The sequence below is a fragment of the Homo sapiens genome, chromosome 16 (assembly GCF_000001405.40).
Source record: "Homo sapiens chromosome 16, GRCh38.p14 Primary Assembly".
Taxonomy (NCBI): domain Eukaryota; kingdom Metazoa; phylum Chordata; class Mammalia; order Primates; family Hominidae; genus Homo; species Homo sapiens.
This window is the reverse complement of record NC_000016.10, coordinates 20558979-20572392: the sequence shown is the minus strand read 5'-3', so window position 1 is coordinate 20572392 and position 13414 is coordinate 20558979. Positions and strand designations below refer to the sequence as shown.

The following is a 13414-nucleotide window of genomic DNA, read 5'->3' as shown; positions in this document are numbered from 1 at the left end:
TCACACTCCTTAAAAACAAATTATCAGCCAAGAATTTTGTATCCAGTGAAACTAAGCTTCATAAATGAAGGAAAGATGCAGTCTTTTTCAGACAGAGAAATACTGAGAGAATTCACTACTAGAAAGCCAGCACTACAAGAACTGCTAAAAGGAGCTTTAAATCTTGAAACAAATCCTGGAAACACATCAAAATAGAACCTTTTTAAAGCATAAACCTCACATGACCTATAAAACAAAAATACAATAAAGAAAAAAACCCAAGCTACACAGGCAACAAATAGCACAATGAATGGAATAGTACCTGACATCTCAATACTAATGTTGAATGTAAATGGCCTAAGTACTCCATTTAAAAGATACAGAATTGCATTATTGATAAGAATATGCCAACCAAGTATCTACTGCTTTCAAGAGACTCATCTAACACAAGAACTCACATAAACTTAAGGTAAGGGGGTGGAAAAAGACATTCCATGCAAATGGACACCAAAAACAAGCAGGAGTAGCTATATTTATAACAGACAAAACAAACTTTAAAGCCACAGCAGTTAGAAAAGACAAAGAGGGACATTATGTAATGATAAAAGGTCTTGTCCAACAGGAAGACATCACAATTCTAAATATATATGCACCTAATACTGGAGCTCCCAAATTTATGAAACAGTTACTACTAGACCTAAGAAATAATATAAACAGCAACACAATAATAGTGGGGGACTTCAATACTCCACTGACAGAACTAAACAGGTCATCAAGACATAAAGTCAACAAAGAAACAATTGATTTAAACTGTACCGTAAAACAGATGAATTTAACAGATATTTACAGAACATTCTACCCAACAACCATGGAATACACATTTTATTCATCAGTGCATGGAACTTTCTCCAAGATAGACCATATGATAGGCCACAAAACAAGTCTCAATAAATCTGAGAAAAGTGAAATTATATCAAGTACTCTCTCAGACCACCTTGGAATAAAATTGGAAATCAACTCCAAAAGGAATCTTCAAAATCACATGAATACATGGAAATTAAATAACCTGTTCCTGAATGATCATTGGATCAACAATGAAATCAAGATGGAAATTTAAAAATTTCTCACACTGAAGGACAATAGTGACACAAGCTATCAAAACTTCTAGGATACAGCAAAGATGGTACTAAGAGGAAAGTTCATAGCCTTAAATGCCTTCATCAAAAAGTCTGAAAGAGCACAAATAGACAATCTAAGGCCACACCTCAAGGAACTAGACAAACAAGAACAAATCAAACCCAAACCCAGCATAAGAAAGGAAATAACCAAGATCAGAGCAGAACTAAATGAAATTGAGATAAAAAAATACAAAAGATAAATGAAACAAAATCTGGTTCTTTGAAAAGACAAATAAGATTGATAGACCATTAGGAAGATTAACCAAAAAAAAGAAGAGAGAAAATCCAAATAAGCTCAATTAGAAAGGAAATGGGAGATATTACAACTGATACCACAGAAATACAAAAGATCATCCAAGGCACTACAAACAGCTTTATGCACATAAACTAAAAAACTTAGAGGAGATGGATAAATTCTTGGGAAGATACAACCCTCCTAGCTTAAATCAGGAAGAATTAGAAAGCCTGAACAGACCAATAACAAGCAGCGAGATTAAAATGGTAATACAAAAATTATCAACAACAACAACAACGACAACAAAAAAGCCATGACCAGATGAATTCACAGCTGAATTCTACCAGACATTCAAAGAAGAATTGGTACCAATCCTATCGACGCTATTCCACAAGATAAAGAGGGAATCCTCCCTAAATCATTCTATGAAGCCAGTATTACCCTCATACCCAAACCAGAAAAGGATGTAACAAAAAAAGAAAACTGCAGACCAATATCCTTGATGAACATAGATGCAAAAATTCTTAATTAGCTGCTAGCTAACTGAATCCAACAGCATATCAAAAAGATAATCCACCATGATGAAGTGGGTTTCATACCAGGGATGCAGGAATGGTTTAACATACACAAGTCAATAAATGTGATACACCACATAAACAGAATTAAAAACAAAAATCACATTATTATCTCAATAGATGTAGAAAAAGCATTTGACAAAAATCCAGCATCCTCTTATGATTAAAACCCTCAGCAAAATCAGCATACCATGGATATACCTTAATGTAATAAAAGCCATCTATGACAAACCCACAGGCAACATAATAGTGAATGGGGAAAAGTTGAAAGCATTCCCTCTGAGAACTAGAACAAGACATGAATGCTTACTCTCACCACTTGTATCCAGTATAGTACTGGAAGTCCTAGCCAGATCAATCAGACAAGAGAAAGAAATAAATGTCCTCCAAATTGGTAAAGAGGAAGTCATACAGTTGCTGTTTGCTGTTAATATGATTGTATACCTAGAAGACCTTAAAGACTCCTCCAAAGAACTCCTACAACTAATAAATGAATTCAGCAAAGTTTCAGGACACAAAATTAATGTACAAAAACCAGTAGCTCTGCTATACTTTAATAGCAACCAAGCTGAGAATTAAATCAAGAACTCAACCCCTTTTATAATAGCTGCAAAAAAAATACTTAGGAATATACCTAACCAAAGACCTATTCAAGGAAAACTACAAAACCCTGCTGAAAGAAATCATAGATGACACAAACAAATGGGAACACATCCTATGCTCATGGATGGGTAGAATAAATATTGTAAAAATGACTATATTGCCAAAAGCAATATACAAATTCAGTGCAATTCCCATCAAAATACCACCATCATTCTTCACAGAACTAGAGAAAAAAATCCTAAAATTCATATGGAACCAAAAAAAGAGTCATCATAGCCAAAGCAAGACTATCCAAAAAGAACAAATCTGGAGGCATCACATTACCTGATTTCAAAATGTACTATAAGGCCATAGTCAGCAAAACAGCATGGTCTGGTATAAAAATAGGCACGTAGAACCATGGAACAGAAGGAACAGAATAGAGAACCCAGAAATAAACCCAAATATTTACAGTCAACTTATCTTCGACAAAGCAAACAAAAACACAAAGTGGGGAAAGGACACTCTATTCAACAAATGGTTCTGGGATAATTGGCAAGCCACATGTAGGAGAATGAAACTGGATCTTCATATATCACCTTATACAAAAACCACCTCAAGATGGATCAAGGACTTAAATCTAAGACCTGAAACTATAAAAATTCTAGAAGATAACATCAGAAAAACCCTTGTAGACATTGGTTTAGGCAAAGATTTTATGACCAAGAACCCAAAAGCAAATGCAACAAAAATGAAGATAAATAGATGGGACTTAAGTAAACTAAAGAGCTTTTGTATGGCGAAAGGAACAGTCAGCAAAGTAAACAGACAACCCATGGAGTGAGAGAAAATCTTCACAATCTATACATCTGACAAAGGACTAATATTCAGAATCTAGAAGGAACTCAAACAAATTAGCAAGTAAAAAAAGCCCAAAAAATCCCATAAAAAACGTGGGCTAAGGATACGAATAGACAATTCTCAAAAGAAGATCCAGCATACATATGAAAAAATGCTCAACATCACTAATGATCAGGGAAATGCAAATCAAAACCACAATGCTATACCACCTTACTCTTGCAAGAATGGTCATTATAAAAAAACAAAAAAAATTATAGATGTTGGTGTGGATGTGGTGAAAAGGGAACACTTCTACACTGCCGGTGGGAATGTAAGCTAGTACAGCCACTGTGGAAAACTGGAAATTCATCAAAGAACGAAAAGTAGAACTACCATTTGATCCAGCAATCCCACTACTGGGTATCTACCAAGAGAAAAATAAGTCATTATACGAAAGAAGTCACTGCACATGCATGTTTATAGCAGCACAATTTGCAATTACAGGAATATGGAACCAGCCCAAATGCCTGTCAATCATCAAGTAAAGAAACTTGTATTCATTTATAAAATATTTATATATTTTTATAAATATATAAATATTTATATATAGTAGTATAGTTTATATAAATATATAATATGTGATATATATGATATATGATATATTATATACATTATATAATTGTATATAATATATAATAGTATGTATATATTTTATATATATCTATATATACTATATGTTCTATAGTGTGGCTATATATAGTATATATAAAACATATAAAATACATTTTTTACATATATTTATATTTTATATAATATATATAATATATTTTGCCACACTCCTGTGCCTTTCCTCCTTCCAAGCTCATGAACGTATAACATATATATAATATGTATATATATATCATCTTCTGTGAAGGCAGTATAGTATGGGAGAGAGACACCATGAGCTTGGAAGGAAGAAAGGCACAGGAGTGTAGCAATACATATTATGTAAAATATAAATATATGTAAAAATACGTGAATATTTTATATATAAAATATTTTTAAATATGTACAAATATATAAATTTCTATATATTTTTATATATTTAATATATACTATATATAGCCACACTATATAATAGTATAGTATATATCTATATATAATATATAAAATATATTATATAATAGTATAGTTTTATATATCTATACATACCATACTATTATATATCATATATATTATATATTATATATATCTGTATATACACTATACTATTATATATATAAATTCACTCTGAGAACCAGAACAAGACATGAATGCTTACTCTCACCACTTAGGTCTAGATATATATAATAGTATAGTATATATATAATAGCATAGTATATATAGATATAGATATAATATACTATATATTATATATTATATATCTTATATTATTATTTATATATTTTTATATATAATTTATATAATTTATATTTATATATTATATACTATTTATATAATTTATATATTATTTATATATTTTATATATTATTTATATATACTGTTATACTATTATTATATGTTATATAATAATATACTATATATTATATATTAATATACTATATTATATATTATATAATATATTGTATATGTAATATTATACTATATATTATATAATATATAATATATAATATATTTATATATAATATTATACTGTATATTACATATTATATATTGTACTATACATTATATATTATGCTACATATTATATATTATACTATATATTATATATTATATATTACACTATATATTATATATAGTATATAGTATAATATATAATATAATAGTATAATATGTTATAATAGTATTATATATAATATATAATCTTATTATACTATATATTATATCTATATCTATATATACTATACTATTATATATATTATGATATTATATATATCTAGATCTAAGTGGTAAGAGTGAGCATTCATGTCTTGTTCTGACTCTGAGTGAATTTATAGATATAACAATATGGTGTATACACAGATATATATAATATATAACAGTATATAATATATAATATATAATATATATGATATATAATAGTATGGTATGTACAGATATATATAACTATACTATTATATATAATGTGTATCATATATTATATATAGAGATATACTATAGTATATAGTGTGTCTATATATAGTATATATATAAAAGATATAAAAATGTATAAAAATTATATATTATATATTTCAAAATATTGTATCTATATATCTATATATACTATATATAGTATATATAGTATATACTATATATAGTATATACTATATATACTATATATATACTATATATAGTATATACTATATGTATATACTATATATACATATATATAGTATAGTATATATATACTATATATAGTATATATACTATATGTAGATATATACATATTATATATTTATAGATAACATATCTCCTTATATACTATATATAGTATATAGTTATATAGTATATATAACATATTTGTAATATAATATATAGATATAGTATATGTATTATTATATAATATATAATATTACATTATATATTATATAATATGTTATATACAATATAAATGTATAATACCCATATATGATATATAATATATCCACATATAATGTAGTATATATATTTTATATAGATATATATTTTTAGCCATGCTCCTGTGCCTTTCTTCATTCCAAGCTGATGGATATATATTTATATATCTATATATCTGTCTATATATATATATATATATATATATATATATATATATAATCTTCCATGAAGGCAGTATGGTATGGGAGAGAGAGAGCATGAGCTTGGAAGGAAGAAAGGCACAGGAGTGTGACGTTTATTACATATATATATATTATATAAACAAAAATATATATAAAAATAGAATTTTTATATTTTTTCGATATATACTATATAATACATACATAGTATATATATTATTTATAGTATCATATATAGTATGCATATATGTATATATAATGAAATACTACTCAGCCATAAAAAGCAATGACTTAATGGCATTCGCAGCAACCTGGATGGGATTGGAGACCATCGCTCAAAGTGAAGTAATTCAGGAATGGAAAACCAAACATCATATGTTCTCAGCCATAAGTGGGAGCTAAGTTATACATTGTTGCAAAGTCATGAGTATGACACAATGAACTTTGAGGAGTTGGGGGAAATGACGGGAAGGAGGTGAGGAATAAAAGGGTACAAAGTGGGTTAAGTGTGTACTGTTAAGTGTATACTGTAAGTGTTAAGTGTATACTCCTCGAGTGATGGGTGCACAACAATGTCACAAATCACCAATAAAGAACTTATATAGAAACAACAATTATGACAGCTGTAATTTCTAAAGTGATTGTGTTAGGTCCTGTGCACTAGATGGATAGGACCTGCGATTTAGGATGTATCAGTCCAGATTCAATTTAAAGAAAAGGATGCTACTTGTATTAGTTAACATTTGCTACAGTAACAAACACCCTATACATCTTAGTAGCTTTTAGTCATGCATATTTTCCCCCTATGGGTCTGTGTGTTGCTAGTGGCCATGCTAGGCTCAGCTCAACTCCACATTTCTTGATGTTCTGGGTCCCAGTCTGAAGGTACAGCATGATCTGGGTTATGCAAGTCTCATGCAGAGGGGAGAAATGTGAGAGTTTCTGATGAACCGTAGAATCCCAGACACTCACATCTCATTGACCAAAGCATATCTCTTGAGCAAGCCAAAGTCAATGAGAGGTGGATACATATTCTTCCTCCTAAATGCACTGGGTAGTCACTTAAAAATGAATGGGGATTTATAATCCTAGAACGGAAAGGGAGTGAATTGCTGGGAACAACTATCCCATCTATGACCCACTGTATTTTAAGCACAAGGGGATTTATTATATGGAAATGGGTGTTAACAAAACTGTCAGAAGTGTTGAATATGTAGGATCTAGGACTGGGTCTGTATCCTCTTATGCCTTTAGAAAACAGCACCCCACAAGGAGACTGAAACAGATGCAGAGTGCCAATTTACTCATAACTACAGCAAATTAATTCCTGGGAAGAATCCTATAAGGTTGGGATGAATCTCCTGAAGCCGCTGATGATCAGTAGAGCAATCTGTTAAAGAAGCTCTTACCTGTGTCTCTTCTTTCTTTTACAGGCCTGAACATGCATTGGCTGCGAAAAGTTCAGGGACTTTGCACCCTGTGGGGTACTCAGATGTCCAGCCGCACTCTCTACATTAATAGTAGGCAACTGGTGTCCCTGCAGTGGGGCCACCAGGAAGTGCCGGCCAAGTTTAACTTTGCTAGTGATGTGTTGGATCACTGGGCTGACATGGAGAAGGTAATGGGATGGAAAAGAGGCACAGAGTGAGACAATTTTGTTGACTTTTAAAATTCATCCATTAATTCAGTAAATATTTGTTAAGTACTTATTACATGTAAGGCACTGTAATAAGCTATGGACAAGACACTCATCTTCCATGAAGGCAGTATGGTATGGGAAAGAGACAGCATGAGCTTGGAAGGAAGAAAGGCACAGGAGTGTGGCAACCTGGTAACTCCCAGGCAGCCAACACACAGTTTGTTTACACTGTATGTAGACTGCACATGCTCTGTTGTGACCTCCCAGGGTGAAATGAGGACTTTTGGTCTGGGGTCGTAGAAGAGGCGGGTTTGAATCTAATAATAGCAAATCAAGCCTGGGCAACACAGCGAGACTCTGTCTCTACCAAAAATGTTTAAAACAAAATTAGCCAGGCATGGTGGCACATACCTGCAGTCCTAGCTACTCAGGAGATTGAGGTGGCAAGATTGCTTGAGCCCAGGAGTTGGAGGCTGCAGTGAACTGTGATCACACCACCGCACTCCACAGAGTGAGATTCTCTCTCAAAAAAGTGGGGGGCAAATCAGCACTGAACAAAGACTGAGTCTTCCCAGAAAGTTAGGTCACGTGTCCCTGTCAATAGAGGTGTGCAAGTAAGATAGCTACGAGGTGACAGTTATCAAAAGGGCTTCAATATGAGACATCCAAGAAAGAAAAAGATGAAGAAATTTCTGAGTTTCCTTCCCAGCCCTGAGCGTCTAGAATTTTAATCCATTCACTGCTGATCCATCAATTGCCTTCACCTGAAGTCCTATGACTCTTTCTGTAGGATGGAAGGATTCATTCTGGCTAGGGGTAGGGGAAGGGGTGGAGCTACCAGCATGAACTTAATACATTGGTGCTCAAAAAGAGTCACGATTATGACATGATGTCCTAAGTTCCCTACACTATGAAACAGTCTTAGTGTGGAGATTGCAAATGCCTTGCCTCTAGGCTGAAGACGGCCCTAGGTGTGGGTACTCTTAAAAAAAATAAGGTTCAACATTTTAAAATTGAAAATTTTCAAACAGAAATTTAGATTTCTGGATTTTTTTAAAGTTATACTTCCTTTAAATATTGAGGAAGGCCCTTTAAATATTCAGGAAGGCCCTTACTACCATGACTCACCATTCTGAATCCATAAAAGTAAATTTGCTATATAAACATCAAAAAATCTCTCAATTCACAAATAACACCATTAGCAAAATAAATGACTAATGAAAACCATGGAGAAAATATTCAACTCATATAACAGCAAAAACGTTAATAATATAAAGTGAGCTTGTAGAAACCAAGAATAAAAAGGTGCAATTCATTATAAAACCAGGCAAAGTATATGAACAGATAGTTCACAAAAAAGTGAACTCAAATGGCCATTAAATATAAAAAATTCTCACCCTCCCTCATAATAAGAGTAATGCAAGTGAGAATTTTACTGAAATAACTTTTTTGCACCTATCTTGTTAGTCAAATACAAAAGGTTGTTTTTTTCTTTCAGAAAAATTAGTTTAATTATCACAAGACATCTTAGTGGAAGGATGGGAGATATTTCTCAAATCTGCCCCCTTGAAAGCTCAGAGACTAGGGTTTTCAAAGATAATTTGGAGGGCAGGGGGCTAAGGAATGGGTGCTACTGATTGGTTGGGAATGGAATTATAGAGATGTGAGAAATGTCTTCAAGTGCTGAGTTTGTTTCTGGGTGAGGCAGACACAGGACAGGTAAAGTCAGTTCCTTGCTGTAGAATCATAGGTCTAGGTAGTGTCAGTAAGTTTTCCAGAATGCAAATGTCTGGAAAATATCTCAAAGGTCAGTCTTAGATTTTACAATAGTGATGTTAACTACAGAAGCAACTGGTGAAGTTACAAAGTGTGACTTCTGGTTACATGACTCCTAAGCAGTAAGCAAGCTAGGGAACAATGGCTGGTTATTGCTTAACTATGCTTATAGCTTAGCAGAATTGAGGCCCCTACCATCTACCATAATTCTAATGCTGTGGAATTGCATTAATTTCACAAAAGGGTTTAGGTCCCTGAAAAAGAAGGGAGTTGGTTTCAGGAAGAGACTGTTGTCATCCTTGCTTTAAAGTTAAATTATAAACTAAATTCCTCCTATAGTTAGCTTGGTCTATGTCCACGAATGAGCAAGAACAAAATACAAAGTTTTAACAACTCTATTAGCAAGGCTGTGAGGAAACAGACACTCTCATGTGTTACCAAAAAGTAGTATAACTCTGATGGAGGCAAATTTTGAAATAGCTAATAAAATTGCTAACATGTTTTGTCTTTGATTTTGCATCATTACTCTCAAACTATGATCTGAGAACCCCTGAGGATACATGAGACTCTTTCAGGGGATATGCGAAGGGTCTATTTTACAATAAAACAGAGAAATTAGAACCCTTGTGCATCATGATGGGTATGTAAAATGTTACAGCTATTATGGAAAGCAATATAACATTTTCTCAAAAAATTAAAAAATAGAATTGCCATTCAGCAATTCCAACTCTGGGTATACACCAAAAAAAACTTAAAATCAGGGTCTCTGAGAAATATGTGTACACTCATGTTCACAGTAACTTTATTCACAGTAGTTGGAAGGTCAAACAGCCCAAATATCTGTCAACAAATAGACAAAAAATAAACCATCATTCTCAGCAAACCATGGCAAGGACAAAAAAACCAAACACTGCATGTTCTCACTCATAGGTGGGAATTGAACAATGAGAACACATGGACACAGGAAGGGGAACATCACACACTGGGCCTGTTATGGGGTGGGGGGAGGGGGGAGGGATAACATTAGGCGATATACCTAATGTTAAATGATGAGTTAAGCGGTGCAGCACACCAACATGGCACATGTATACATATGTGACAAACGTGCACGTTGTGCACATGTACCCTGAAACTTAAAGTATAGTAATAAAAAAAGAAATATCAGGCAAATCCAACCAAAAAAAAAAGAGATTATTGTATTTTTCAATGTGAGAAGGACATGAGAATTGGAAGGGCAGGAGCAAAGTGACATAGTTTGGATATTTGTTTTCTCCAAATCTCATGTTGAAATGTAATCCACAGAGTTGGAGGTAGGGCCTGGTGGAAGACATTTGGATCATACGGGCAGGTCCCACACGAATGACTTAGCACCATCCCCTTCGTTATGAGTGAGTTCATGAGAGATCTTGTTGTTTTAACATACATGGCACTTCCCCACGCTCTCTCTCTTGTTCCTGCTTTTGCCATGTGATGCACCTGCTCCCCCCTCACCTTCTTCCATGGCTGTAATCTTCCTGAGGCCCTCACCAGAAGCAGATGCCAGCACCATGCTTCCTGTACACCCTGCATAACTGTGAGCCAATTAAACTTTTTTCTTTATAAATTACCCAGTGTCAGATATTCCTTTATAACAATGCAAGAGCAGCCTAATATAGTACCTTATATAAATGAAATCACACAGTATTTGGTTTTTTGTGTCTGGCTAATTTCACTTAGCATGTCTTCAAGGTTTATGCATGTAACATATGTCAGAATTTCCTTCCTTTTTAAGGCTGAAATAATATTCCATTGTTATGTATATGCAACATTATCTATTCGTCAAACATTCAGGTCAAATCTTGAATGCTCTGTTGCTTAAAAATTTCTTCTGTCAGATTCCCTAAGTCATTACTCTTACGTTAAAACTTCCACAGATCACTAGGCTATGAACACAATGCAGCCAAGTTCTTTGCTAAAATATAGGAAGGAGGACCTTTGCTTCAGTTCCCGAAAAGTTCCTTATTTCCATTTGAAATCTGGTCAGCCTGCATTTCATTGTCCATAATTCTATCAGCATTTTGTTCACAACTATTTAACCAGTGCCTAAGACGTTCCAAACTTTTCCTCATCTTTCTATCTCTTCTAAGCCTTCCAAACTCTTCAATTTCTTCCCATGACCAAGTTCCAGAGTTAGTTCTACATTTTCAGGTATCTTTATAGCAATATCCCACTTCTGGTACCAATTTTCTGTATCGGACTGTTCTTGTGTTGCTGTAAAGGAATACCTGAGATTAGGTAACTTACAAAGAAAAGAGATTTAATTGGCCCAAAGTTCTGCACAGTGTACAGGAAGTGTGCTGGCATCTGCTTCTGATGGGGGCCTCAAGAAATTTACAATAATGTTGGAAGATGAAGAAAGAGCAGGCACAACAAAGGGCAAGATGAGGAGCAAAACAGAGAGTGAGAAGGTGCCACTCACTTTTAAACAACCAGATCTTATGATCTCATTTATCACCAAGGGGATGGTGCTAAGCCATTCATGAGGGTCCCACCCCCATGATCCAATCACCTCCTACCAAGCCCCACCTCTGACATTGGGGATTGCATTTCAACATGAGACTTGGAGAGGACAAATATTCAGACAATATCATGTATCTAGAATAGTCAAATTCATAGAGTAGGAAAGTAGAATGGTGTTTATCAGGGCCTAATGGGAGAGGGGATGACAGGTGATTGTGTAACGGGGACAGAGTTTTCGTTTTGGATGATGAAAAACTTCGGGAGATGGATGGTGGTGATTGTTGCATAACAATGAGAATGTACTTAATGCCACTGAACTGTACACTCAAAAATAGTTAAAACTGGAAATGTTATGTGTATTTTTACCACAAAATTAAAAAAAGTAAGTAGATAGAGATAAATATATAAATAAATCTAAAGTGATATTTGCCTTTTTATTCTAATTCTTTCAAGAGTATACAATAGCATTTTCCAGAAGATACATGTTGGTACTCACAACAGAGTGAATGCAGAATCAGATGAGAGGATCCAATGTTATTCTACTAAGACATTAAAGGGAATTGCAGAATAAATAGATGCAATAAATAAAATAATGCCACTTTCCTCATTATTTTTTCATTTTGAAAAGTACACTTTATCATTATAAAAAAATTATGCATGCTAATATATAATGGGTTTATTACAGTTATTTCTAAAAGCATACATTTACAAAAATTCTGTTTTAATATCTACTATGGTAGATATTGATAGATATAACTCATATAAATAACAACTCTTTAGGGTTTTCAATACTTTTTATGATTGTATGGAGGTGCTGAGATAAAAAACCTTACTAAGCACCAGCTTGGCAATCCCAAGACTTGGAATTTATCCTACCTGCTTGTGTACCAATGCCCCCTAATCAACAGGGTTTCTCTTTCCTCAGGCTGGCAAGCGACTCCCAAGCCCAGCCCTGTGGTGGGTGAATGGGAAGGGGAAGGAATTAATGTGGAATTTCAGAGAACTGAGTGAAAACAGCCAGCAGGCAGCCAACATCCTCTCGGGAGCCTGTGGCCTGCAGCGTGGGGATCGTGTGGCAGTGATGCTGCCCCGAGTGCCTGAGTGGTGGCTGGTGATCCTGGGCTGCATTCGAGCAGGTTGGTAACTGACTACCTGGACAGAGAACTGTCTTCCTTGTGAAGAAAACTGATAGCAGAGAAATGCAGCCACCTCTCTCAAAAGAAGTCTCTGCCTTGGAGCATGCTGTCCTCTCTCATATGAAGAAAGACTTCTCCCTGCTTCCACTTATTTAAGCAAACTATGTGCCAAGCACTTATGCAGGGTGAACAACAACAATGACATAGTTTACATATTCATGGGACTTACAGAACTTTGGAGAAAGCTCTTAAACTATT

General features: G+C 33.8%; 1 protein-coding gene across 6 annotated transcripts in view; it reads left to right on the top strand.

Annotated features, from left to right (window-relative positions):
* ACSM2B (acyl-CoA synthetase medium chain family member 2B) overlaps positions 1-13414 on the top strand; it is a 40142-nt gene that overhangs the window by 3975 nt on the left and 22753 nt on the right. For 5 of the 6 annotated variants that reach the window (XR_001751899.3, NM_001105069.2, NM_182617.4 and 2 more), the window contains 2 exons: positions 7540-7724; positions 12946-13156. Coding sequence is in view for 5 of the 6 variants with exons in the window: in NM_001105069.2 (NP_001098539.1) it covers positions 7548-7724; positions 12946-13156 (388 nt within the window). In the remaining variant the exon portion in view is untranslated. The remainder of the gene's footprint in view (positions 1-7539; positions 7725-12945; positions 13157-13414) is intronic. The other variant, NM_001410902.1, reaches the window with a different exon arrangement.